This window comes from Homo sapiens, chromosome 22 (genome assembly GCF_000001405.40).
Source record: "Homo sapiens chromosome 22, GRCh38.p14 Primary Assembly".
NCBI lineage: Eukaryota > Metazoa > Chordata > Mammalia > Primates > Hominidae > Homo > Homo sapiens.
In genome coordinates, this window is record NC_000022.11 from 50,263,481 (window position 1) to 50,288,301 (window position 24,821).

At 65.4% G+C, this 24,821-nt stretch overlaps 2 protein-coding genes across 34 annotated transcripts in view, besides 8 other annotated features; both read right to left on the minus strand.

Annotated features, from left to right (window-relative positions):
• Positions 233 to 6,900, minus strand: MAPK11 (mitogen-activated protein kinase 11). 3 transcript variants are annotated; one of them, NR_110887.2, is made up of 13 exons: positions 6,697 to 6,900; positions 4,340 to 4,469; positions 4,089 to 4,147; positions 3,891 to 4,002; positions 3,777 to 3,806; positions 3,647 to 3,694; positions 3,454 to 3,568; positions 3,060 to 3,131; positions 2,746 to 2,825; positions 2,102 to 2,180; positions 1,841 to 2,014; positions 1,315 to 1,547; positions 233 to 397 (listed from the first exon to the last, which is right to left on the minus strand). NR_110887.2 is itself a non-coding variant. In NM_002751.7 (12 exons), the coding sequence occupies exons 1-12, from the start codon at positions 6,810 to 6,812 to the stop codon at positions 1,468 to 1,470; spliced, it is 1,095 nt and encodes a 364-aa protein (NP_002742.3). In that variant the 5' UTR covers positions 6,813 to 6,900; the 3' UTR covers positions 233 to 1,467. The 3 variants fall into 3 exon arrangements, 2 of the variants coding, with proteins under 2 accessions (NP_002742.3, XP_047297403.1); NM_002751.7 differs by having other exon boundaries at positions 233 to 1,547; XM_047441447.1 differs by lacking the exons at positions 4,089 to 4,147; positions 6,697 to 6,900 and having other exon boundaries at positions 233 to 1,547; positions 4,340 to 4,431.
• Positions 4,303 to 4,372: a silencer, noted in NCBI's record as "silent region_13964". NCBI's record gives its function as "represses an Ori minimal core promoter by ATAC-STARR-seq in GM12878 lymphoblastoid cells {active_cell/tissue: GM12878}" and the evidence as "EXISTENCE:reporter gene assay evidence [ECO:0000049][PMID:35858748]".
• Positions 6,491 to 6,550: a silencer, noted in NCBI's record as "silent region_13965". NCBI's record gives its function as "represses an Ori minimal core promoter by ATAC-STARR-seq in GM12878 lymphoblastoid cells {active_cell/tissue: GM12878}" and the evidence as "EXISTENCE:reporter gene assay evidence [ECO:0000049][PMID:35858748]".
• Positions 6,571 to 7,160: a silencer, noted in NCBI's record as "silent region_13966". NCBI's record gives its function as "represses an Ori minimal core promoter by ATAC-STARR-seq in GM12878 lymphoblastoid cells {active_cell/tissue: GM12878}" and the evidence as "EXISTENCE:reporter gene assay evidence [ECO:0000049][PMID:35858748]".
• Positions 8,197 to 8,736: an enhancer, noted in NCBI's record as "H3K27ac-H3K4me1 hESC enhancer chr22:50710106-50710645 (GRCh37/hg19 assembly coordinates)". NCBI's record gives its function as "activates a minimal SCP1, AML or CMV promoter by ChIP-STARR-seq in naive H9 embryonic stem cells {active_cell/tissue: H9 hESC(naive)}" and the evidence as "EXISTENCE:reporter gene assay evidence [ECO:0000049][PMID:30033119]".
• Positions 8,240 to 8,589: a silencer, noted in NCBI's record as "silent region_13967". NCBI's record gives its function as "represses an Ori minimal core promoter by ATAC-STARR-seq in GM12878 lymphoblastoid cells {active_cell/tissue: GM12878}" and the evidence as "EXISTENCE:reporter gene assay evidence [ECO:0000049][PMID:35858748]".
• Positions 8,737 to 9,277: an enhancer, noted in NCBI's record as "H3K4me1 hESC enhancer chr22:50710646-50711186 (GRCh37/hg19 assembly coordinates)". NCBI's record gives its function as "activates a minimal SCP1, AML or CMV promoter by ChIP-STARR-seq in naive H9 embryonic stem cells {active_cell/tissue: H9 hESC(naive)}" and the evidence as "EXISTENCE:reporter gene assay evidence [ECO:0000049][PMID:30033119]".
• The window catches only part of PLXNB2 (plexin B2), a 32,668-nt gene continuing 19,345 nt past the window's right edge, over positions 11,499 to 24,821 (minus strand). For 23 of the 31 annotated variants that reach the window (NM_001376869.1, NM_001376866.1, NM_012401.4 and 20 more), the window contains 32 exons: positions 24,457 to 24,557; positions 24,187 to 24,313; positions 23,631 to 23,784; positions 22,693 to 22,807; positions 22,510 to 22,618; positions 22,320 to 22,421; positions 21,093 to 21,185; positions 20,652 to 20,733; positions 20,353 to 20,510; positions 20,122 to 20,270; positions 19,857 to 19,965; positions 19,570 to 19,706; positions 19,231 to 19,401; positions 18,704 to 18,833; positions 18,374 to 18,601; positions 18,086 to 18,262; positions 17,880 to 18,019; positions 17,609 to 17,709; positions 17,264 to 17,493; positions 17,009 to 17,190; positions 16,525 to 16,591; positions 16,150 to 16,296; positions 15,375 to 15,531; positions 15,116 to 15,216; positions 14,955 to 15,039; positions 14,637 to 14,791; positions 14,373 to 14,533; positions 14,111 to 14,258; positions 13,362 to 13,426; positions 13,149 to 13,224; positions 12,409 to 12,483; positions 11,499 to 12,328 (listed from right to left, as the gene is read on the minus strand). In NM_001376869.1, coding sequence (NP_001363798.1) covers positions 12,224 to 12,328; positions 12,409 to 12,483; positions 13,149 to 13,224; positions 13,362 to 13,426; positions 14,111 to 14,258; positions 14,373 to 14,533; positions 14,637 to 14,791; positions 14,955 to 15,039; positions 15,116 to 15,216; positions 15,375 to 15,531; positions 16,150 to 16,296; positions 16,525 to 16,591; positions 17,009 to 17,190; positions 17,264 to 17,493; positions 17,609 to 17,709; positions 17,880 to 18,019; positions 18,086 to 18,262; positions 18,374 to 18,601; positions 18,704 to 18,833; positions 19,231 to 19,401; positions 19,570 to 19,706; positions 19,857 to 19,965; positions 20,122 to 20,270; positions 20,353 to 20,510; positions 20,652 to 20,733; positions 21,093 to 21,185; positions 22,320 to 22,421; positions 22,510 to 22,618; positions 22,693 to 22,807; positions 23,631 to 23,784; positions 24,187 to 24,313; positions 24,457 to 24,557 — 4,137 coding nt within the window. In that variant the 3' untranslated portion in view covers positions 11,499 to 12,223. Of the gene's footprint in view, positions 12,329 to 12,408; positions 12,484 to 13,148; positions 13,225 to 13,361; positions 13,427 to 14,110; positions 14,259 to 14,372; positions 14,534 to 14,636; positions 14,792 to 14,954; positions 15,040 to 15,115; positions 15,217 to 15,374; positions 15,532 to 16,149; positions 16,297 to 16,524; positions 16,592 to 17,008; positions 17,191 to 17,263; positions 17,494 to 17,608; positions 17,710 to 17,879; positions 18,020 to 18,085; positions 18,263 to 18,373; positions 18,602 to 18,703; positions 19,071 to 19,230; positions 19,402 to 19,523; positions 19,707 to 19,856; positions 19,966 to 20,121; positions 20,271 to 20,352; positions 20,511 to 20,651; positions 20,734 to 21,092; positions 21,186 to 21,364; positions 21,434 to 22,319; positions 22,422 to 22,509; positions 22,619 to 22,692; positions 22,808 to 23,630; positions 23,785 to 24,186; positions 24,314 to 24,456; positions 24,558 to 24,821 lie in introns of those variants that run through there. The other 8 variants (NM_001376885.1, NM_001376884.1, NM_001376865.1 and 5 more) reach the window with 7 other exon arrangements.
• Positions 12,825 to 12,894: a silencer, noted in NCBI's record as "silent region_13968". NCBI's record gives its function as "represses an Ori minimal core promoter by ATAC-STARR-seq in GM12878 lymphoblastoid cells {active_cell/tissue: GM12878}" and the evidence as "EXISTENCE:reporter gene assay evidence [ECO:0000049][PMID:35858748]".
• Positions 18,637 to 19,836: an enhancer, noted in NCBI's record as "MED14-independent group 3 enhancer chr22:50720546-50721745 (GRCh37/hg19 assembly coordinates)". NCBI's record gives its function as "activates an origin of replication core promoter dependent on BRD2, BRD4, P300/CBP and CDK7 cofactors, and independent of MED14, by STARR-seq in HCT116 cells {active_cell/tissue: HCT116}" and the evidence as "EXISTENCE:reporter gene assay evidence [ECO:0000049][PMID:35650434]".

The window sequence follows — 24,821 nt, forward strand, 5'->3', positions numbered from 1 at the left end:
GTGCCCTCAAAGTCTGCCCATCAGCCATGTCTTCCCCTGGTCCCCCTGGGCTCTCAGACCCTCCAGGGAGCAGGGAGGGTGCCAGAAGATGGCCGCTGGTCTGACTGGGGGCCTGAGGGATCTGGCCAGCTGGAGGTGAGTGATGCAGGATGACCCAGACACTCCCCCCACGCCCAGCAGCAGGGATGGTGGGGGCACCCGGGCCTGGAGTAGCCTTTGGATACAAGCCAAGTGAGAGAGAACCCCCTTTATTGTGCACCCCTGGTGCAGGCACTTGACACCCAGGCTTCCCTGGGCCCCTCGAGGCAAGAGGTCACCCCCTTTCCAGGGCAGAGCCACACCCCCAACTCAGCTCTGGGCAGGGTCCCGTCTCCGAGGTTACTGGATCAGCTCCATCCTGGGACAAGGAAAGAGGACTGACCCACAGACCAGAGCACCTCAGATCTCCGGCTGCAGGGCCACAACGGTGGGCAGAGGTAGAGAGCGGGCCAGGGTGCAGGGCAGAAGTGTCCGAGTCCAAGTCCACATCCAGGTGTGCTGCCTGCCCTAGCGTCCTCAAGGCCAAACCACCCACCCACCCACCCCCAGCCTCAGGAAGCTGCTGTGGGTCCCACATCCAAGGAGAAAGCCCCTGCCCATGCTCATGTGGTTGCCCTTTGGCCCACTGGAGCCGCCAGTCTGAAACACCCCTCAAGGCATCAGGAACCGAGGAGAGGGAAGGCAACAGCACACCCACCCCGGCTCCAGCTTCTTGCCAGATATGGCTGCTGGCCTTGGGCGCCCACAGATTCACACGCACCACATCACATGTGCCCTGACATATGAACACGGGGAGTGCACGCTCATCCACACGTGCCCACACACACCCACGGGTGAACACAAGACTCCAGGCAGCTTTTCTCATTTGACACCTGGTGGTTGTCCCTGCCCAGCCTGGTGGCACACTGGCTCTGCCTCTCCTCTTAGACCTGTGGGTCTCAGCAGTGACCAAGACAGCCCCCTACCTCCAGGCTGAGCAGCTCTAACCACTGAGACCTCTCCCTTTGAGTCTCCCGGGGTCCCGGCCCCAGCGCGTCCTCCAGAAAGCCCTGGGACAGAAGAGAGCCCAAGGCTGACACTCCCTTGGGTCGGCCTGGGACAGACAGGGGAACTCCGCAGGGGAACCCCTTTGGCATCTAGGACCCCACAGTCAGGTCCCAGTGGAGAGTGCAGTAGCCAGAAGAGGACAGGAGGACCAAGGTAGGCCCAGGGACACTTGTGCCCAGACTCCTACACATGGCAAGCACATGTACACACATGTTTGTGCATGCATACATGCGTGTAGATTCTCCTGAAGGCGAGGGGTCCTAGGCCAGAAGTCTGTGACCATAGGAGTGTGGGAGGTGCCTCTCGAGGAAACCAGGCCAGCTGTGGAAGGGTGCAGGCCCAAGCCCCTCCACAGGCTCTCAGGGGCTGCTGGGCAGCACCTCACTGCTCAATCTCCAGGCTGCCAGGTGGCTTCGGTGGCTCTGGGGGCTTGAAGCTGAGGACTTCCTGGTAAGTGAGCTCTAGGAGGTGAAGGGAAAGGGTGAGCTTGTGCCTCCCACAGCCCGGCCCCTCACCTGCTTGTCTGGCACCTGCCACCCAGCCCAGGCCCACCACCCTGTGACAGCAGCCTCAGCACAGTCTGGGAGCCAGAACCTGCCCTGTGTCACTCCTCCGCCCCGCTCCCAGCCTGTGCTGGACACCTGAACGCCCTTCCACACCTGACCAGTCTGGAGAGGAACTGGGGCATTTCCTGCCTCTGGGGAAATGGAGCCCGCAGGCCCCTGGACCCACCCCCAGCCACTGCCATGCTCACCCTTCCACTCCTCCAGCGTGCGCTCCTTGGCCTCAACGCTCTCATCATATGGCTCGGCCTCTGGCTCATCCTCGGGGTCGTGGTACTGGCTGAAGTAGGCGTGGGCCAGTGCCTCAGCTGCACTGACCCTCTGGTCACTGTCCAGCACCAGCATCCTTCCAAGGAGGTCTATGGCTGCAGGGAAGCCAGTGGTGGGGAGGGGGGTCAGCTGTACATCCAGGGCCAGATATGGAGCCCAGTCTAGCCCAGGGCAGTCCTCACCCAGGGGGTTGGCTCCACGGAAGATGCTGCTCAGGTCCTTCTGGGGCATGGGGGGCAGGGACTGGATATATGTCCGGGCCTGGGGGCACACAAGAACACCTGGGGAGGCTGCTCACTCTCTGCCTCCCTGGCCCCAAACTGGGGCTTCTCTTGGCAAGCCCCCAGACTCATTCACTCCAACAGGCCAGGACAAGGGCACAGGCAGACCAGTGACCCCCTCCATATAGGATCTGGTGGTTCTAGCTCCTCAGTTGGCCCCTAATGCCTGCAGGAGCTGGGTCCAAGTACACTCCCTCCACCCAGCCCACCCCCACTGCCCTGGCCAGGCACTGCTTGCTGGGGTCCCCCAGCCCACCCCCACTGCCCTGGCCAGGCACTGCTTGCTGGGCCCCCAGCCCACCCCCACTGCCCTGGCCAGGCACTGCTTGCTGGGGTCATGGCTTTGCACTCACTGTCCCTGGTGTCAGGAATGTCTTCCCCCTTCTCCTGTTTCCCCTGCAGGGATTGGGCACCTGCCCTAGGCTCTATCCCACCACATCCCATGTTCCCCATATGGTCCCCGCATTTCCACACCACCCTCTCCCCCAGAGAGCCTGGGGGCTCAGCCAGGAGAGGGAGCTGCTGGCTGGCGGGCACCAACTCACGTGTTCTGAGGAGATTTTTGCCAGAACCTCAGGGCTGGGTGTGCCCACCACTTCCATGATGCGCTTCAGCTGGTCAATGTCTGTGTCACTCAGGAAACACCCACGGGCCAGCCACAGACCCCTCCTGGGCCCCCAGACCCAAAACTTTGGGGCGCTGCCCAGAGCCCGCTCTCCTATAGGTGAGGATGGCCAGCCCAAAGTAGCATAGCATGGGGGGCAGAGGAGGCAAGACCCGCCAGAAGGGGCCAGCGCTGGTCCCTACCCTACAGGAGGGGCCCTGTTTGACCCTGCTCCCCAACCTGGGCCAAGGATACAGTCGCTTCCCGGGAAGAGGGCCTTGCCCTGGAGCAGCTCAGCCATGATGCAGCCCACGGACCAGATATCCACTGTGCGAGGGCGAGGGGACCTCCATCAGTGTGCCCACCCCACGTCCCTCCTCCAGGAGACCCACAGTCACATCCAGACCCCAAGATGGGCAGACCCCCTCCTCTGCCATACCCAACCCCCCTAGGCAGGGGGAGGTCCATAGCTGCACAGCCAGAGGAGGCCAGCACCCATCATGCTCTAGCGGCCTCTGAAGGGCTACTTTTGAATGTGGGTCCCACATTCTTGGGGACCTTGCCTGCCCCCTAAGACCTGGCATGCAGAGCCAGTCGAGGGCCAGACGAGGCCCTTGGCCTTCGTCCCCCCAAGGCCTTCCCCCTGCACCTGTTTGGTTGTAATGCATCCAGTTGAGCATGATCTCAGGTGCCCGGTACCAGCGCGTGGCCACATAGCCGGTCATCTCCTCGTCCGCCTGGCGCGCCAGCCCAAAATCCAGGATCTGGGGCGACCACGTGGTGTTCTCAAGCTCCGCACGGGCTCCGCCGCCGCCCTGCCCACCCCTGCCCACGGGCCTCACCCTGAGCTCACAGTCCTCGTTCACAGCCACGTTGCTGGGCTTCAGGTCCTGCAGGTCACGCGGAGCGTGAGCACAGGAGGCTGGGACGGAGCCCTGCTGGACCCGACCCTCACCCTGCGGTCGCACCTACCCGGTGGATGATCCCGGCCGAGTGGATGTACTGCGGGAGGGGGATTGTGGTGAGCGCCGGGCCCGGCCCGCCCGCCCCCCTGCGAGAGGACCCGCGAAGCCCAGGGCGCCCCACCTTCAGCCCGCGCAGCAGCTGGTAAACCAGGAATTGAACGTGCTCGTCGCTCAGCGCCTGGCACTTGACGATGTTGTTCAGGTCGGCGCCCATCAGGGTGGTCACCAAGTACCTGGGGCGGGGTCAGGGGGTCAGGACAGGGCCCCACCGCCCCACCGCGAACGCGCTCCCCGCTGCCTCGCCCGCCCCGCCGCTCACACTTCGCTGAAGTCCTCGATGGACGTGGCCGGCGTGAAGACGTCCAGAAGCCCGATGACCTAGGTGGCGGGGGGCGTCAGGGCCGGGCGACGAACCCCCGGCTGTCGTTCAGCTCCCCCCGGGCCACGCCCCCAGTGCCAGGCCGCGCCCCCTGTGTCCCCGCCCCCATCGCCAGGGCTCGCCCGCCTATTGGCTGCGCCGCGGCCCCGCCCCCGCACGCGCCCTCCCCCCACGGCCCTCCCCCGGCTCACGTTCTCGTGCTTCAGGTGCTTGAGCAGCCGCAGCTCCCGGTACGTTCTGCGCGCGTGGATCAGCGACTGGAAGGGGCGCGACAGCTTCTTCACCGCCACCTTCTGGCGCAGCCGGGCGTCGTAGGCCGAACTGGAAGGCGGGCGAGTGAGGCGGCGCCGGGAGGGGTCCGAGGGCGGCCGCACGCGCGTGGACCCGGGCGGCGTCCCTCTCGCCGCTTCTCCGTGGGGATGGGGCCGTGGGGCTTTTCTGCCCCGGCCCCGCCGCCCCAGCTCGGCCTCCCACCCTCGGGCCTACCCACTCCGCGCTTGCTGGGAAGGAGCCCCTGGGGCTGGACCACCATGCGTGTGTTCACCCCACAAGGTCCTGGACCTTCTCTGTCCCCTGGCCCCACTGATTCCCACGCTCAACCAGGGGCCCCCATTCAAAGCAAGGCTGGGGGAGAGGTGCCCCATCCAGCGTGGAAAAACACAGCAGGAAAACAGTCACTGGCATTCACCTGCAGCAGACGGGCCTCCCTCTGCCCCATAGACCCCATGGGCCCAGGAGGCTCACAGAGGGGGATTCTAGAGCCACCTCAAAGCCCCTGGACCCCTGGTGCCTCCGAATGTTCAAAATACGGAGGGAAAGTTGGTCAGAGGTGTTTATTGCATCATTATTTGGAACAAAACCGGGACAGAAGGTGATGTACAGCTGAGGGCGTCAGCTGGACCCACAGAACAGCCCTTCGCCCAGCCCCACTTCCCAGAGGTCCAGACCCTCTACCCTGCACCAGCTTCCTGAGCCCACCCTCCCTTTGCAGGTGACCCTCATCCCACCCTCCCATGTCCCACTGCCCTCAGCCCTGCTAAAGGAAAGGCCTTTGCACAGCCTGTTCCCTCTGGCTGATACTTGCTTCTTCTCTCCCTCCCACTTCTGTCTCTTGGGATCCTGTCTCAGAGCAAGTGGAGGCTGAGGCCACCCCCCATGCCCACACAAGGGGAGCAGGAGCGGCTCCTGCTGGGTCTGGGATGCTCATGGGCGCAGGTCGAGGTGCCTGGGGCAGCCATGCTCCCAGCCTATGACCAGGGAAAGGTGCTCCTGAGGTGGTGAGGGGAGTGGCCCTGCACGTGGGGCAGCAAGTTCTTTTGGCCAATTGCATCTGTGCGGTCAGGTGACAGGGAATTGGCACCTGGCCCGCAGCCTTGGCAGTGGAACTAAGAAAATGGGCCAGGGGTGCAAGGGGGGAGACCAGGCCTCACTCAGAGAACCGGACACCTCTCAGCAACTCCCAGACGGCGAGTCCAGCCATGACCCACCCTAGTCCCCTATGGCCACTCCCACACCGTCCCAGACCCTCTTCCTGCCCTTCAGGTCTCAAAGAGGAAGACAGATCTGTGCTGGCATGATGGCTAGAATGACCCACCTACAGCTTCTGATGGAAGGCTAGGGACCACACCAGAAGACAGCCTGCCCTGGGACCCCCGGCCCCTGATGCCGGCTCCTGAGCTCCAAATCTGGTGGGCCTAGAGGTCCCACTTCCAACCTGCAAGTGCCTGGGGCAGAGCTCTGCCCTGGCTGCCTCTGCCTTTGCGCCCCACCAGGACCCCCCAGTGGGCAGCAGCTAAGCGGCATTGGCCATGGTGAGGACTCAGCTGCACCTCTCAAAGCCTGTACCCATGATCAGCCTCCCAGTCAACATGGAGGCTGAAACTTAGGACTCCCGGTAACTACCTCACCCTAAGCCCCTCCAGCCCTGGCTACCCGGGTCTAACAGAGACCTTGGCCCAGTTGACCCCCCTCCCCCACCCAGACTCTGTCGTCTTCCTGGGCCCCAGGCCAGGTCCTCTGGCCCCAGGGCCTAAGTGGGGTTTGTGGTCTGAGGGGGAGTCTGAGGCCATCCCAGGGGGAGAGATCTTGGCTTCCGGGAGCGGGGCTTCCCTTTTCAGACAATAGCCCCCAGCCCGGGCGGGGGAGGGTCATCCGCTAGACCCCGGGGGGCTGCCTGACCCGACTCAGTGAATCTCAGGTGGGTGCTCAGACGTTTAGGGGCCCGGACATCAGGGTGGCTCGGGGCTCGGTCGCGTGAGACCCACCCTCACGCCAGCTGTGACCTCCCAGGCCTCAGGCCTGGTGGGGAGCAGTCCGAATCGGGAGAGGCCGGAGGACCCCCCTCCCTCCCGGTAACGGCGTCTGCTTGGAAAGTTTCTTTACGCCGCCACCCCCGCCCCCCCATTCATTCCTCAGATCCGCTTGGCGCCCGGGGGCGGAGGCAGGGCGAGGCCCCTCCCCACGCCGAGAACCTCGCGCGGGCGAGGAGGGGACGCGCTCTCCGGCCCGGCCCGGCCCCCACCCAGCACCCCTTCTGCCCCGCCCCTACCAGACGGAGCCGTAGGCGCCGGAGCCCACCGGGCGCAGCCCCTGCAGCCGCTGCGGCACCTCCCACACGGTCTTGTTCAGCTCCTGCCGGTAGAAGCCGGCGCGAGGGCCCGACATGTCCGGAGCAGCCGCCGCTCCGCCCGGGCCCAGCCCCGCGCCCCGCGCCCGCGCCCGAGCCGAGCCCGAGCCGAGCGGAGCGGAGGGCGGCGGAGGCGGCGGCGGCGGCGGGCGGGGCGGGGCTCCGGGGCGGGGCCGGGAGGCCCGGGCGGATTTCCCGGGCTGGGTGGCCGGGGCGTGGGGGGGTTCCCGGAGACAAATGCGCTGCTTCCTGCGCCTCGGAGGCGGTGGCAGAGCGGAAACCAGCCCTCCCCTTCCCGGGGGGGGCGCCGAGGGCGGACACCTCCCTCCGGCTCTCACCTCTTGGGGGCCGCGCGCTTCTCCAGACTTGCGCCCGCGTCTGGGCTCGGCCCGGGCTTCCCTACCCCGGCGGCGCCCTCCCCAACGAGGGAGAACCGTCAAAAGCGAAGAAGCCAGGGGTAAACCATGGGAAGTATTTTTCAAGACAGAAATATGAATAGCACCTTCTAAAGACTCGGCACTGGATAGGAAAATAAGCCGAAAGGCGTTGGGACAGGGCCGGCCTGGCTTTCTTGCGCAGGACCTGCAGGCCTTGGTCCGCGGTGCGCCCCGGGAACCTTCCAGGCCTCCTGCCCCGGCTCGCCCTGACCTCCCCTCTGAGAGAGGCGCGACCGCTGGACTGTCAGGACCAGGGACAGCGGCGTCACCCCGGGGCCTTCCTACCCACAAGCAGCGGCCCCAAACGGATCCTTTTTGCTGCCCAGAACCTTTCCTCCTCCTTAGCGGCCACCTCTTCTAGGAAGCCCACCCTGACTATCCCAGGTCCGAGGAGCCGCCTTTGGGTGCAGGGTCCTTGAAGTCAGCCCCGCGGGCGGGCAGGCGCGGGGGGCTGCCTTGGCGGTGACGGGGGCAGCGCCCCACTCGGCGTCTCTGCCGCGCTCGGGGCCGCACAGCTACTTTTATTCCCACTTGAAAGCGACCGGGGCTCGGCGGAGCATTGCTCCCTGGAACACCGGCCACCGACCTCCGCCCTGGTAGAGCCGTGGTGGGAGGCTTCGCGGCTGGGCGACCCCCTCCAGCGAAGTGAGAAATCAGGATCCCAGTGGCCCAAAACACTCCTTTTTTAAAACACTAAAATCCGAGTTTTAATGTCAAATCTGATTTTTATATATCGGCAACCAAATTAAAACAGCCAGCACGGTGCTGGCCACCGGACCCATGCGGACCGCGGCGAAGGAACGGGTCTCAGTCCCAGCCGCTCCGGCCCCTTTTGCATGACCAAGCCCCGTGCCTCAGTTTCCCCATTGGAAGCCGGCATCCGGCTGGGGGCCTGGCGCGGGCCCGGGGATGGCCCCTCTCCTCGCTCGGGCTGGGTTGGGGCGAGGACACGGGCAGCCTCCCCGAGGGCCCCCGCCCGGGAGCGCCTTTCACTGGGCCCGGCCGAGGCGGGCCGAGGTTTTGTGCAGAGTTAATGGAGCTTCAGCTAAAGGAGGAGGAGGCCGGAGCGCAGCCCCGGAGCTGTGGGAACCGCGGCCGCGGCCGCCGGGGGAGGGGAGCGGCCTTTGTCTGCGCCGCGGCCGGGCGGGGCGGGAGTCGGGTTCCCATGGCGACCGGCCCCGCCCCTGCGCCTCCCCGTGGACTGGGCGGCTCCGTTCTCGCCCCTAGGGTGGGGGACATGGAGGTGGGGAGGTGTCAGGCTTCCCCCAGGCGTCCGCCCGCAATCCTCGCGGCCTCGCTGCAGGCCCCGGCCGCTCAGCAGGTCAGGCGGGCGTGTGGGGTGGGGGTGGGGGCGGGGGGCGGTGGAAACGGGCCCCTCTCATCACTGAGCTGACCTGCCCCGGGAACCCCCTGCCTGCCCAGGCATTAGAGGTCCCGCCCATGTGCCTACTGGGGACAGTGTGGGGTCGTGGCACTGCAAGGGAGTGATCACTGAGGAGTTTCGGGTGGCGTCAGGGCCTGGAGGCCATCTTCCAGGAGAGGCACCTTCAGAGCTCGGCGGGGGCAAGGGAAGCCCCCCTGGAGGGAGCCGCCGGTGGAGGACAGTCCCAGGCCCAGAGGGGAAGCGGCAGGGGAGCCAGGAAGGGCCGGTGGCAGGGCAGGAGTGAGAAGCCCTGGGCCAGAGGCGCCTCTCCTACCCAGCTGATTCGCTGTGGCCCCTGAATACAGCAGGCCACCCCTTCTCCGTGCTCATGCCCCCACCCCACCCCCGCTGGTCCTGGCCACCCCTCCTCACTGGAGCTGTCACTGTGACAGCTCCTCTCTGGTCCTGCTGGTCCCTCCCAGCTGGCCTCTTCCTGCAGTCAGTGAACTTCCTAAAAGGCAAATCTGGCCTTGCTCACCGGGAGACCAGGCGATGGTGGTCGCGGAGCTGATTTAGCAGGGGACTTGTCCTGCCTGTAAGAAGCAAGCAGGATGTAGCCTTGGGCTGTTAAGCTACCCGCCACCTCTCCTCCCACCACTCTGGGAGGAAAATGGGACTTGGAAAGCACCAGGAAGGACAGGCCACCCCTCGTCTGTCGCCAGCTGACCACTCCAGCCCACCGCATGCACCCCAGCAGCTATGCCCAGCTTCTACCCGGTGCCTGCCCCCACCCAGATGCTGGACTGCTGGGCCTGCAGCCTCTCCCCAGCCCCAAGTTTCATGTGTGTGGGGTCTCACTGACCCTTCCCTTCTTTCCTGACTGCCCAGTGGGACAGGGAAGAGGTGGACTGCAGGGGTCTAGTACGGAAGCCAGGCCTCCAGGTTCCCAGCTCCCTACTTGAGACCTCCCGCTCAGCACTTAAGCCTTCGGTCCACCCCCTTGCTCTGATCTCCTGACCAGCCATGTCTCTGGGTAAGGGGGGAACCCAATGTCATTTCAGGGATCCTTGGAGCAGGGGATGTCAGTTGGCCTTGTACCCCTTTCTCTTGTGGGGGAGAGATGGCCACCCGTTTTTCATCGTGGCTTGAATGGAGCTGTGTGGGCGGCAAGCCACCCAGGCACCGAGGCAAGAGAGAGGACACGAGCTGTTGCAGTATAATAAAATATAAAACAAGAATAGTTATACCAGATATAGATCTTAGATATGATTATATATGAATATCATTAATCATTAGTTTGTAGCAATTACTTTTTATTCCAATATTATAATAATCCTTGCTCAATAATCATAGCCTAGGAAAAACCAGGCCATACAGAGATAGGAGCTGAGGGGACATAGTGAGGTGTGACCAGAAGACAAGAGTGGGAGCCTTCTGTTATGCCCGGACAGGGCCACCAGAGGGTTCCTTGGTCTAGCGGTGACGCCAGCGTCTGGGAAGACGCCCGTTACCAGGCGGGCCGTGGTCCAGCCGTAGCAAAAGGTGTCAAGGAACAACACCCACTACTTAGCAGACCGGGAAAGAGGGGGGGGGGTCTCCCTTTCCCCAGGGGAGTTTAGAGAAGACTCTGCTCCTCCACCTCTTGTGGAGGGCCTGACATCAGTCAGGCTTGCCCGCAGTTATCCAGAGGCCTAAACGTCTCCCTGTGATGCTGTGCTTCAGCGGTCACACTCCTAGTCCACTTTCATGTTCCATCCTGTACACCTGGCTCTGCCTTCTAGATAGCAGTAGTAAATTAGTGACAATACTAATAGTCCCTGATATGCAGAAATAATGGCGTAAGCTGTCTTTCTCTCTGTCTCCTCTCTCTCTCTGCCTCGGCTGCCAGGCAGGGAAGGGACTCCTGTCCAGTGGACACATGACCCACGTGACCTTACCTATCATTGGAGATGACTCACATTCTTTACCCTGCCCCTTCTGCCTTGTATCCAATAAATAACAGCGCAGCCCGACATTCGGGGCCACTACCGGTCTCCATGCATTGGTAGTAGTGGTCTCCTGGGCCCAGCTGCCTTTTCTCTTATCTCTTTGTCTTCTGTCTTTATTTCTACACTCTCTCGTCGCCGCACACGGAGAGACCCACTGACCCTGTGGGGCTGGTCCCTACAGAGCTGCCCCAGTCCAAAGGGGACTCGATCAATGGAGGCCTTGCCCATCAAGAGACCCCAGCCATGACGTGCCCAGGTGGGGAGACAGGCTGGGGCTGCCTGAGAATGGATCCTCGTGAGTGGGTTAGCAGTCCAGACCAGCAGAACCTCAGGATGTGTGCCTGGATCCAGCCACATTTGAAGCTGGGCCTTCACTTTGTGTCTGGAGCACCGAATGCCCTCTGCCTGGGCTGTCTGTATTCTTGGCACACAGGGGAGGCTCTGAGCCCTGCCCGTCCTGGTTGCTGCTGTTCCTAGCGCTCAGGACAGTGCATGCGTGGTGTGCAGCGGGCATTTGGTAAGAATGTGTTGCACGAAAGAAGCCACCAGATGGCACCAGAAGCAGTCCCACCTCCCACCCCCCCCACCTCCCCTCAGCACCTCTCCCAGCCCCCTCCACCTCCCCCCAGCACCCCTCCCAGCCCCCTCCACCTCCCCCAGTACCCCTCCCAGCCCCTTCCACCTCCCCCAGCACCCCTCCCAGCCCCCTCCACTTCCCCCCAGCACCCCTCCCAGCCCCCTCCACCTCCCCCCAGCACCCCTCCCAGCCCCCTCCACCTCCCCCAGTACCCCTCCCAGCCCCTTCCACCTCCCCCAGCACCCCTCCCAGCCCCCTCCACCTCCCCACAGCTCCCCTCCCAGCAGGACCCACAGAGCCCAGGGAAGGGGTGGTGGACAGGGGCACTGCAGCCCCAGGAGGAACACTCAGCCAACCCGCAGAGTGAAAAAGACGCTGTATTTGATTTACAATGAACAAGATTTACAAAAAGGGGTGGGGTGGTCTTGGAACTGCTCCCAGTCCCCCCGGACTGGGTGGGGCTCTAGGGCAGCCTGTCTGACAGACCAGGACCCCAGGATGTCTGGGCCCCGACGTAGGACTTGACCTACGTCTCACTTGACCTTTGACGTGGGGCCCAGCAGCCGTGAGTCCACCCAGAGTGCCGGCACCCTTGGGGAGGCCGGTGAGGTCAGGAAGGCATCGTACCGCTTTTTCTCCTCCTCCCATCTCGTGGTGGACAGACAGACATAGGATCTGGGAACTTGCCCTGGGGGCCACAGGCCCTCAGATCCCCCAGGGGCCCAACCTAGGGCATGGAGGCGGCTGCTGGTGCGTGGGCGGAGGCGGAGGCCAGCTGCCCCCAGCGTGGCAGCGTAAGGCACATTTTCAAATCACTGGAGACTCGACAGTGAACACCCGATGCTGGTTCTGCGGCCGGAGGGAGCTGGGGCTGGGGCTGGTGCTGGTGCGGTGCCCGGCGGTATTGCTCAGAGGAAGATGCTACAGTCTAGACGCTGGGCGGGTTCCGGCTGCACCCACTCCGGCTTGGGGCGCGTTCCAGGGGAGGGTGGGGGCCTCAGCCACAGCCACTCGGCCTCCTCCCCTGAGGGGCTCTCAGGTACCTCAGGTACCTATGTCCCAAGGCAGCACTGGAGATTGTAGGTCAGAGGTCAGTGACCTTGTTCTCCAGTGCAGCGGCAATCTGCTGCAGGCGGAAGGCCAGCTGCATCTTCTGGGCGGCAGGATCCTCCTCCAAGGCATTGATGATCTGAGGGAGGGTCGCATCAGAGCACACCGGGGGACCGCCCAGCACCCCACCTGCCCCCGCCCCCGGGGGCCTGACCCTACCTCGTCATAGTACTTCTGCGTGTATTGGTAGAGCTGGTGGAGTGCCACGAGGGTGTTCAAGGAGTCCGTGTGCGCCTGGGGGGTGACGGGACAGTCAGGGTGGAAAAGGGGCTGTGGGAGCCCCAGGGCTGGCAGGAGTAGTACGGGACGCCCAGGACGAGGCCTCCCCGGGGAAGCAGCTGGGGCCTTGGGCACAGCTGGCACTTGGGGCCCCCCATGTGGCACAGCCTCAGACAGACACCCACGCAGGCAGAGTTGTGCACATCCAACCATCTCAGTGTCTCCCTGTGTGACGCACGGCTGTGGATGGACCCACAGGGACGGGTGCTGTGAGCAGGGCTGTGGGTGGAGCCGCAGGGAGGGGGCGCTGTGGGCACGGCCGTGGGTGCAGCCGCAGGGAGGGGGCGCTGTGGACACGGCCGTGGATGGAGCCGCAGGGAGGGGGCGCTGTGGGCACGGCCGAGGGTGCAGCCGCAGGGAGGGGGCGCTGTGGGCACGGCCGTGGGTGCAGCCGCAGGGAGGGGGCGCTGTGGGCAGGGCCTGGCTCCAAGCAGGAGCAGCTCATACTCCCCACACGCAGCTGTGGCTCACTTCACATGGCCGAGCCCACCTCGAGGTCCCGCCCCACCCTCTCTCCCCCTCAGCACCACATTACCCCTGCCCTGCAGCTCAGGGCCAGGCTCAGCATGGGGTAGTGGGAGCGGGGAGGGCTGTGGGTGCGTCCCTGGTGGTCTCCTTACCCGGGAAATCTCTGCCAGGTGTGTGTTCATGTCCTGGTCGCTGACCTGCACCATCTGCCGGATCCCCTTGTAGTAACTGCAGGGGTGGGAGCATCATACAGTGTGGGCGGCAGGGACCACAAAGGGGGTGGTGGGGGAAACCAAGGCCTGAACCTCCCCGCAGGGGGTCGAGGGTGGGCATGGGGGCCTGGCCTGGAGGGCAGGCAGACTTACTCCTCCACCATCTTCTTGTAGGTGGAGATCTCCTTGGCGTACAGCAGCTTGTTGCTGGGAGAATCCTGTTGGGGACAAAACCCAGTGATGCCTGGCCAAGGGGGCCAGGCTGGGGCTGCTCAGAGTACCCCTGGGTAGCTTCCCCTGCCCCGAACTCCTGACACTTTCATCAAGAAAACTATGGGCCGGGCGCAGTGGCTCAGGCCTGTAATCCTAGCACTTTGGGAGGCTGAGGCAGGCAGATCACCTGAGGTCAGGGGTTCGAGACCAGCCTGCCCAACATGGTGAAACCCCGTCTCTACTAAAAATACTAGCCGTGCGTTGTGGCACATGCCTGTAGTCCCAGCTACTCAGGAGGCAGCGGCGGGAAAATCGCTTGAACCTAGAAGGCGGAGGTTGCAGTGAGCAGAGATCGCGCCACTGCACTCCAGCCTGGGCGACAGAGAGAGACTCCATCTCAAAAAAAAAAAAAGAAAACTACTTATTTTGTGATCTGTAGTAAAACTCAGTTTCTCTGCTCGTGTGCTGTGGTGAGAGGTCTCAGGAGGAGAGAGGGCAAGGGCTCTCGGGATCTCCCAGGCTCTGCCGGGCCCCTGTGCCCCCAGCCTCCGCCACCCGTCACCTCCTACATCAAGGGCTCCAGCCCAAGATATTCAAATCCACACCCCAGACAAGGTCCCAACTCACAAGATGCCTCCTGGGGACAGACCCAGGCCTCCCTGCCCCAGACCTGCCCCCACCCCACTCACGCGGCTCAGCTTATGCTCCGTGCGCGTGCAGGCATCCATGAAGGTCTGCGCGATGACTGACAGCGAGGCGTCCACCACCTCGTGGACATGCACGTCAAAGATGAAGTGGGGGTTCTTGAGGATGTTCACCCAGAACCGGAGCGGTAAGCTGAGGCAGAGCAGCAGGGAATGAGAGCCGGGGCTGGGCCGCGGGGTGGGTGTGGAGCCTCCCAAGTGAGAGGCGGAGCCGGGGCTGGGCCGCGGGGTGGGTGTGGAGCCTCACCTGTTCGTCTTCCAGATGTGGATGGTGTCTTCATCCTGGATGTTGTGCTTCTCTGCCTGCTCGTCCAGGAAGTCGAAGAAGTACTTGACTGCAGGTGGCACCGCGTGCCCAGGCGCCAGCACGCTCTGGAAGAAGTTGTCCACAAACTGCTGCAGTGTGCCCTGTGGGGGGGAGGGTCTCAGCGTGACGCCGTGGGCGCGGCTCCTGGGGGGGAGGGTCTCAGCGTGGCGGCCTGGTGCCGCCCACACACCCATGGGGGCCCACCTTGACTGAGAGCAGCCGCGTCAGGTAGATCTCGGTGATGGCCTTCGTCCGCTCCTTCTCTTTCACGCTGCCTCTCTTGGACTTGCCCTCGTCCACCTCGTCGGTCGGCCGCACCAGGTGCCACACCCGGTTCTCCTCCTCCAGGAGGGCATGGCCTGTGGGGAGCGGGCACTGAGGGACCCCTACCCAGGTCTGGGGGCCTGGGTCCCACAGGGAGCAGTGGTGGCAGGGTGGGCAGGGGTGCATGTGTCCAGGGCAGACATGGTCCACGCTGACCACCAGGGGCTGGAAGGAAACGGGCAACAGGGAGGGACTCACGCTCCCCAGGCAGGTCCTGCTGGCTGTCCTCCGGCTGCTGGGAGACCCCCACCTTGGACAGGATGAGGGTGGCTCCATCCCGGACCTGGGGAACACGGCGGTGAGGGTGGGCTGTGCCCCCAGGGTGCCCAGTTCTCGCCCGCCCCGGCCTACACGCTCACATTGTAGTGCATAAGGGTGTTGACGCGCTTCCACCGGCCCTCCCGCTGTGACGTCAGGTCCAGGTCCGACAGGATCTGCGCTGTGGAGCCCGGACGCCACTCTGTGGGAAGAGACAGCCCAGCTTGGGCCCCAGCCACCCAGGTTCCTCCCACTGCCCACCACTCCCATATGAGAAAGCTGGCCAGGCAGGATACCGCCCCAGGACACAGGCCAGGCACATGGGCGCCTGTGTGCAGACGGGCAGGGGCCGGCACTCACCCAGGACCACGCTGTCTGGCCTGGGCCAGCAGGAGCAGGGCTGCCCACGGTACACCTGGTCAATGATCTTCTCCTTGACCTGGGAGATGGTGTCACAGTTGAGGACCTTCACCGGGATGGCGTCCACTCCCTCGTCCTGCACGATCACGCTCACCGTCTGCCGAGACATCCGGGATGAAGCCCAGTGGGAGGCCCTGCTCTTACCTGCACCATGCAGGAGCCACTCCCTGCCCCGCCAGCTTTGCCCACCACAGCGGCACCCTTGGGCAGCAGGCCCCCGCCAGCCCGGCTCCGAGCCCCCGAGGCTTCCCAGATGACCACACTCTGCCCTTCCCCTGCCTGCTCCGGCTCAGCAGGACAGAAAGACGGGGACGGCTCAGAACCGCTCACTCAGGCTGTCACGCAAGCTCATGGAAGCACATGTACAGACACAGAATACACACGTCTCACACATGCACAGGCTCCTGCCACACCCACTGGTCATGTATGCACAGAACCCTGGACACACCTGGTGTGCCAGGCCCTTGTATGGCCTCCAGGAGGTGGGGGCGCCCGGGAAGAGCTGATGCGGGGCCCGCACACTTAGAGCCTCCAGAGCCCACAGCCACCAGCACCCAGGCCCCTCCCTGAGGCCGAGTTAGAGCAGGCTGTAACTCGAATCCACAGAGGAGGTGGACGGCCTCTGGCCTGTGGGTCCCATCTGTGGCCAGGGGATGCCCAAGCTCCTTAGCCCAGATCCGAGGCGCCCATGGCGGCCCCCACCCCAGAAGCTCACCAGGGGTGCGTACTCCACATCATCCCCCAGCAGCCCCGTGTCGTTGAGAGTGTACTTGGCCTTCTTCTGTACCGCATCCACCGGGCCCTTTTCCACCTGATGTTTGATGGCCTTGAAGAGCTTGTACAGGGGCTCCCCGGCACTGTCCTGGAGTAACACGGAGGGGAGGCTGGGAGGTCAGGGGACTTGGGGCCTGGAAGGGGCCCCCGGAGCCCTGGCCAGAGGCATGGACGGGGCTGACCATGTCAGGGGCAGGAAGCAAACCTGTCCAGGCAGGGCCCACCTCAAGGTGCCGTACAGATAGGGGAACGCAGGAGGGGATGGCAGCAGTCTGCCTCATCCCTCAAGCCCCAGCCAGGCTGGGGTGGAACCCACCTTGAGGTACTGGTACAGGCAGATGGACATCCAGTTGGACAGCATCCTCTCCACCACAGTCTCAGACCTGGGGGTGCAGGGAGGCCTTGTACCGAGTGACCCCGTAGTATTCCTGAGGCCCAACTGACTCCTCCAAGCACCCGGCCACCCTTGCGCCAGCCTCGCCCCTGTCCAGCCTGGGTGTGGCCTGCAGCGAGGACTACCTGGTGGCAGCTCCAGCCCTTGTGGGAAGTGTGCCACCTTCCTTCTGTTCTGCAGAGGGCTGACACTGTGACCAGCTGAAACCGCTGGACAGGAAGGGCTAGAGTCCGGCTTTGAGTTTGTGGCCGGGGACACCACCCCTAGACCGCCCCCCACCACCAGCGCTGGCTGGCACCTGCCGGCTCCTGGGGGCCCAACAGGCCGCTGTGCCACCCGCCACCAGCCCCAGAGCCCCTGCGGCCGCCCCGCCCGTGGCCCCGCTCGTGGCCCCGCCCATGTGCACCTGCGCAGCATCAGCTTGGGGTTCTTGGCCACCACGTACTGCTCCAGGAGCTCCAGGAAGAGCGTGTGCATGATGTCCGTGTAGTACTCCAGTTTCCCGTGCAGCGCCACCGTCAGCAGGGACGCGAAGTAGACCTTGGCGCGGGCCGAGAACTCCCGCTGGTTCTCCAGGGTGTGGATGAACTGTAGGGGCCGGCGGTCAAAGCCTGCCCGGCGCCACCTGTGTGCCCTCCCGCCCGCCCGACGCCTGGCTCACATTGATGAGGAAAGACTTGCTGTTCAGCAGGTTGGAGAACTGGTAGAGGGCCTGCTCCACCACCGGCCGCCGCGGCTCAGGGATGTCCAGCTTGCCGGTGATCATCACGTCCTTGTCGCCGTCCTTGGAGGGCAGGAAGAAGACGCGGTCGGTGTAGGTCTTGTAGTCCAGCACGGGGATGCCGGCCTCGTGCACGTCGTTGGTCTGGTCCTCCATCTCGATCATCAGGTCTGGGGGGAGGCTGGCGTGAGACGTCCCTGGCCACGTGGGGCCCTGACCCCCACGCTACACACAGCATCCCCGCCCCAGGAGGCGCCCCAGCACCAGCCCCCAAGCGGTCCCTACCTGTGAATTCCTTCTTGCAGCGGTCCCGCACGCTCTCCTCCAGGCCCTCCAGCTGGGACTTGATCTTCTCATACTCTCGTTCGGCCTGCTGGCTCTTCCTCCTGCAAGGCACAGCGGGCCTCCTAGGTTCTGCCGGGGCTGGCCGCTCAGCTGCCCGGATGAGGAGGTGGATCTACACGCCTGCCTGTGCAGGGCGGCGGATGAGGCCAGAGGGGCCGAGGCGGGAGGGCCGAGGGCTCAGGGTGTTGGCACAGCCGGGGGGCGGGCTCACCAGTAGCAGTAGACAGACACCGCGATGACGACCACCATGGGCACGATGACCAGCGGCAAGATGAGGCTGAGCGGCACGTCGCTCACCCGTGTGTCGTACTCCACGCGGCCCAGCACCCACTCGCGAGAGCCGAACTTCACCTGTGTGGGGGGCCGGGTTCAGCGCGGTCCCGTGGGGGCACCCCCCGCCAGTCCCCGCTCACGCACAATGAACTCGGGCAGGTTGTGTGTGGTGTCTCGTTTCTGCCGCCGCTTGGGCGGGGGCTGCACCTCCGGGGGCTCACAGTACAGGTCGGTCTCCGTCAGCGTCTTCATGGTGCAGCGCTCGGCACCCACGAAGGCCTCGGCCTCCTGCAGCGTCATCGCCTTGTTCAGATTGGTGCCCTGGGGAGGCGGCAGTGGTCGGGGTGAGGAGGAGGGAACCAGGGACAGGTGGACCAGCTCTCAGCCCAGACCCGAGCAGGACCCAGACACCCGGGGCTGCACCGTCCTCACCCGGGCGTGGATGAGCTTGTTGACCTGCTTCTTGACGCCACCTGTGAAGTTCTCAAAGGTGGGGTCAGGCACGTACTCGAAGGCCCCGGCCTCTGTTCTGAGCAGGGCACGGTGCCCGTCCATCTCGATCAGCACCGTGAGGTTGTAGGCCTCTGGCTCCTCAGGCACAGCCGGGGACAGGAAGACGACCTTGGTGTCATTGTGGAACACGTAGTCTGTACCCACCACCTGCAGGCAAGTCCCAGCTGTCAGCCCCCGGGCGCAGACCCCGCCCTTCCTGGGCACGATCCCATGGGCCGGTGCCAGAGCTGAGCCCACGCCAGGACTGACCGTCATGGGCTGCAGGGATTCAGCCTCCCGCGGCGGCTGCCAGGACTGCAGGGGCTCCGCGATGACCACCATGGCAAACCTCTGGATCAGGCTGAAGCCCTGACCCGTGACGTTGATGCTGCGGCCACCACTGCGGAGGGCAGTGCCTTCGTGGGCTCGGCTGGCAGGGGTGGTCCCTGCAGCCTCCGCCCTCCCGTCCCCGCCCACCCTGGCCCTGACCACACGGGGCTTCCAGGTGCATGTGTGGGTCTCGGTGGGCAAAGGGGCAACGCGGTGGGACGTGCTGAGCACGAGACTGTGCCGCAAGTGGGCGGGGGGCACACGGGGCCTGGTGAGCGTGGAGCCTCTGGTGTGCCCATCTGGGTTTCTAGGAGGAAGTGGATCTGGAGTGCAGTGGGGTTTTCCGGAGGCCGCCTCCCGCTGCACAGACCAGCCCCACCACATTCCTTTCAGCACAGTCAGCCAAGGGCACTGAGGAGGCAGCTGGGTGTGGGGAGCAGAGGGGGGCGGGGGGACACCAGCCTCACCTGGCAAAGCTTCGTAGCGGCTCGAAGGCTCGCAGTACGGGGTTTTCGCGGTAGGTGAAGAAGATGCCGGGGTTGGGCACGGGGGACCCCCCGTAGGAGACCTCCAGAAGCATCTGGCCCCGTGTCGCCTGGGGGCCAGTGACACACTGGAGCTGCGCCCCAAACTTCGTCCTGGGGGAGGGAGGGTGCTGGTCTGCATCAACCCCTCCCCCGGGACCAGCCCCAGCCCGACCAGGCTGGCCCCGCCATCCCCTCAGGGCCACTCAGGTCTCAGTAAGTGCCCCCCTCCATACCCAGGGCCAGGGCCAACCAGACTCAGCAGCTGGCGGTGACACCCACACTTTACACGGGACGCCGTTGAGGGTCACCCGCACGTCCTCCTGGGAGCCCGTGTCCAGGTGGGTGCCGTGGATGGTCAGTGTGGTGCCGCCCGCCTGCGGTCCCTGCTGCGGCTCCACACTGAGAGGCTTGGGCTGCTGAAAGAGCCGCAGGGGCACTCGGGTGAGGACGGGGCACAGGACGCCCTCGGTCCTGGGCTGGATGGTAACTGTCGTGGGGAGGCGGCGGGCAGAGCCCCTCCTCCCGGTCCTCCCGGGTTCGGCAGGTCCCCGAGGCCGGGTGCTTACTTGGAAGGTGAACTGGACATTGGGAGGCGAACGGCCCAGTTTCCCGAAGACGTCCACCTCGACACCCCCCGTGAAAGGCGTCTCCGCAGCCTCGATCACACACACGATCCTGGCGGGCGACAGGCAGTGTGGCCCAGGCACTCCCCGACCCACCCCACACCCTGACACCCTCACCCCCTCAGCCTCCCCACCCACCCAGTCACCCGGAACCCCAGCGTGGGTACTGACCCAGCTGACAGGGCCCAGACCAGGGCCGTCCACTCACCGGGTGGACACGGAGTAACGTTCCGGCTGAAAGGAGCAGTTCCGGCCGGCCACAGAGATCCTCTGGATGTCCCCTGCTTGGACGCCCAAATTGGACCCCAGGATGGTGATGCGGATGCCCCCACCCAGGGGGCCCGTCTCAGGCTGGATCTGAAACCACAGAGCCGGGTGAGCAGGGAGGGGCTCATGCCAGGGACGAGGGAAGGTGTAGGCCAGGCTTCGAGGGGCTCACCCTGGTGATGACGGGCGGCGGGCACTCGGAGGTGGTGTTGCACAGGGCCTCATACACGCACCTGCTCTGGCCCCCGCACCACGCACACCTGTAGTCGGGGTTAGCGGCCCGGCACAGGCTGCAGTCGCTGCGGCCAAAGGAGCAGTTGTAGAGGGTCACTGCGGGGAGAGCTGCCGTCAGTGGTCACCCCGTGCCTGCCCGCCCCCGACCTGCTCCCCACTGCGCCCACCTGTCCCCCCACCCACCGCCTTGTGCCCACCCGTCCCCTGCCCGCCCCCCACTGCGCCCGTGGCCCCCACCATGGAGCTTGCTGTCGATATTCTTGCCGTAAGACTTGACGTAGAGGTGCAGGGGCAGCGTCTCGTTGGCATCGTGGGACAGCTGGGGGACACGCAGGGGCACACTGCACTTCCTGCCCCCACAGAGGGGCGTGGGGCGGGGGTCACAAGGGCAGCCTCCCTGTGGCCACCGGGTCCCTTCCCAGCCAAGGGCAGCAGGGGAGGCCTTCAGGTGTCGGAAGTTCGGGAACCCCATGGACGCTGCTCTGTGCCACTCTGTCCCCAGGGAGGCAGAGGGCAGAGGGGGCTTCCCCAGCAGCACAGGGCATGGCGAGCCCCTGGCTGGGCTCTGGTCCCTGGGGTCTCCCTGCTGCCCCTCCCCTCACAGTCCTGAAGGTGACCCCCCACCCCACCCGGGGCCCTGGGGTCCAGCAGCCGAGCCGGCCTGCCCTGGAGCCGTACCTTTGGGGTCCGAAAGGCGAAGGTCCCAGATTCCTGCATGGTCACCGGCTCCATGAACTTGAGCAAGTCACTGCCCACGTGCAGGGAGGAACCCTGCAGACCATGCCGTCAGGACCCTGGACAGGCGGCTGTGGCACCCTGGCCCTCCTCCCAGAACCCCTGCAGCCCCTCCTCTGTGCCTACAGTGTGGGAGCCCTCTCCTCACCCCACACATGCCCGCCCCTCAGATTACCATGCCAGCTGACCCCTCGGCCACTCCTGAGCCCAAACACCTGTGTCTGCAGAAGCCTCTGAACGTCCTCTGTGGGTTTCCCACGGCCACCTCCACCACTCATCCACACCTGAGAACATCGCCCGGCCCACCTGACATCGTGGCCCCCACAGCTCCCTCCTCAGGAGGTGGCACTGGCCCCTCAATCTCCACACGCCTGCCTCCTCCACTGCCTCTCTTCAGGCCCATCCAAAGGCCCCCGAGTGCTGCCTCCTGGCCTCTGTCCCCGATAAATCCTGTGCCCTCTACCTCATGTGGGGGCCCCGAGTCGGGGGGCACGGGTGGAGCTCAGGCTTCCCACACACCCATCAGCACTGGCCGGCACCCCTCCCTCCGTACCTTAGCCTGCCTGTCACCAACCGGCACCCCCTCCCTCCGCACCTGAGCCTGCCTGTCACCGGCCGGCACCCCTCCCTCCGCACCTGAGCCTGCCTGTCACCAACCGGCACCCCCTCCCTCCGCACCTGAGCCTGCCTGTCACCGGCCGGCACCCCTCCCTCCGCACCTGAGCCTGCCTGTCACCGGCCGGCACCCCTCCCTCCGCACCTGAGCCTGCCTGTCACCGGCCGGCACCCCCTCCCTCCGCACCTGAGCCTGCCTGTCACCAACCGGCACCCCCTCCCTCCGTACCTGAGCCTGCCTGTCACCGGCCGGCACCCCTCCCTCCGCACCTGAGCCTGCCTGTCACCGGCCGGCACCCCTCCCTCCGCACCTGAGCCTGCCTGTCACAGCCGGCACCCCTCCCTCCGCACCTGAGCCTGCCTGTCACCGGCCGGCACCCCTCCCTCCGCACCTGAGCCTGCCTGTCACAGCCGGCACCCCTCCCTCCGCACCTGAGCCTGCCTGTCACCGGCCGGCACCCCTCCCTCCGTACCTGAGCCTGCCTGTCACCGGCCGGCACCCCTCCCTCCGCACCTGAGCCTGCCTGTCACCAGCCGGCACCCCTCCCTCCGCACCTTCACGGTGTCCAGGTTCTTGCCCTGGAAGTTCACATCTGTCTCGTGGTTCATGGGGATCACCAGGGGGCTGGGTCCCAGGAACTGGGGACAGCTGTCCTCCTGGGAGAGTAAGGCTGGTCAGGTGCTGCCTGGGCACAGCGGAGCAGCCATGCCCTGAACAGTCCCCTGAGGCCCCGAGGCCCCTCACCATGTGGGCACGGACGATGCCGTCCTCAGGGTTGGGCGAAGCCTCCCGGCACTCGTGGTAGCGCAGGTCCCACTGGCAGGTCCAGCGGTTGCTCACGCAGGAGATGCACCTGCATCCAGAGGGGATCGTGAGCAGGGCTGGGGTGGACGGGCAGGGTGGGGTCGATGGGCACAAGACACTCACGGCAGGTTCTCCTCCAGGCTCATGGCCTGGCGGCAGTCGTAGAAGGGGTACTGGTAGGACGTGAGGAAGATGTTGCCTCGTCTAAGGAGGAGCTGGATGGTCACGGCCACGTGGTCTGCAGACAGCAGAGGGGGAGGTGTCAAGGTGGCGGCCGCAGGGCCGAGGGCCAGGCTGGGCCTCCCCTGGGGCTGACTCCTGGGGCCAAGGTGGAGACCCCTGGTCTTCAGGGGGCCCTGCCAGGACGCCCCGCATTCATGTTGGGCGGGGCCTGCCACCTGCTATCAGATCTCGGGTGGGGCTGCCAGGACGCCCGTTCACGCTGGGCTGGACCTGCCACCTGCTATCAGATCTTGGTTCGGGTGTCGGGCGCAGCACCGGGCTTGCCTTTCTCCCCCGGGTCCAGGTTGCTTTCATACCCTCTGTTCCCGCAGGCACTGAGGGCAGCGGCTCCTTGGAGTCTGAGTGGGACCTGCCAGGTCCCTGCCCACGTCACTGCGTGGCCCCACTGCCCCCAAAACTCAGGGGACATGGGCGCGACGCCTGCCCTGGCCCACATGCGAGGCCCTGCAGCCTCTGGGAACGGCCCTGCTCTCTGAAGCTGGACATGGCAGGAAGGGGTGAGGGGCGTCTGCCGAGACGACGGGGCCTGGCGCCTGGCACCCACATGCCGCTCCGGACGTGATGAGGGAGCAGGCTGAAGACAAGTCACCTTTGCTACAGGCCTGGGGGGCGTGGCTGCGGACAGCCCAAGAAGCCAGAACCTCCCCAACAGGCACAGCAACCCCACCACAGGCTTCATTCAGGCTGGGCCCCCGGAGCAGCCGCGGAGTGTGCCTGTGCAGAGCCTGCACCCAGGGGCCAGCAGAGGCGAGAGCCCGTGTGCACAGGGCCCCGTGCGACCGAGAAGGGCCACCCGGGGGCTCGGGAAGGGGCCTCACCCTGGCCTGGCGGTGTGACGGGGATGCTGCTTGGGGAGTTGCAGATGACGGCCTCGCCCTCCACGCGGGCGGGGTGTGGCGGCGACTCCCCAAAAAGGCACAGCAACTCGTCCTCCTCGCTCAGGGCAGGGAGGGGGCTGACGGTCAGCTGCACCTGAGGGAGGGGCCGTGCCGCTCACACTGGGAACCCCGAGTCCTGTCAGCCCACCTGCCGGTGACCCGACCTCCCTGCGTGTGTGGGCGCACGTCCCAGTGGAGCCTCCAGAACCCGACTCCACGTCTTCCAATACAGGCCTCTCTGTGGTCACCCCAGCAACTCCTGGGACAGGGCCTGAGTCCACCCTGGATATGGACAAGCCCCACCCCTGCCCGCCCAGGTCATAGGGGTCCAGGGGACCAATGGAGGGCGGGCTCCATCCCTAAGGCTCGGTGCCCAGAGCCCAGGCGGGGGAGATGTGGAGCCCTCCCCTGCCTGTCCCAACAGCTCCCAGCATGGGGGAGCCCCCACCTGGCCCGGCCTGGGGCCCAGGACCCCCACCCCAGACCCACCACGCACCTCCCCCTGGGCCCGCCGGCTCATGTTCTGTGGCTGGGCGCTGGTGACGGCCACGCAGGACTTGCTTCGGCTCCACAGCCAGTGGCTGGCCTCCTCGGCCCGCGGACACTCGGCCTTCCGGGTGCATCTGCAGGCGCAGGGGGCGGCCTCAGCCCAGGGTGGAGTCTTGTTCTCCCGGGACAGGACAGTGCGATGTGCCCCCCGACCCAGGCCACGACCTTCCGGGATCCCAGAGGCAGGCCGTGTCCCCGAGCCACCCCAGGCACTCACCGTCCCTCGACGACGCACCAGCCGCAGTAGGGGTCCTGGGAGTCGCGGCACTGGGTGCAGGTCGGGTAGCTCAGGCACTCCTGCACCGGCAGCCGGAACACCTAGGGCAGCGGGGCCGTGAGTGGGACCACAGCAGAGGCCGCACGGGCCTTCCGCAGACCCCAGATGTCCCCAGACCGCCAGCTTGACCCAGCTCTGTCCCGGGGCCTCGGGAGCCTCAGACACCTCAGGCTTGATATTAAACAGTTCTGGCTCTGGGTGGCCATGCCTGGCCCAGGATCCCGATGGGAGCCCAGGGAAGCCTGGAGGTCTTGGCTATGGTGTCTCCCGGGGCAGCTCCTGTCCTCTACACTGGCTCCCTCCGA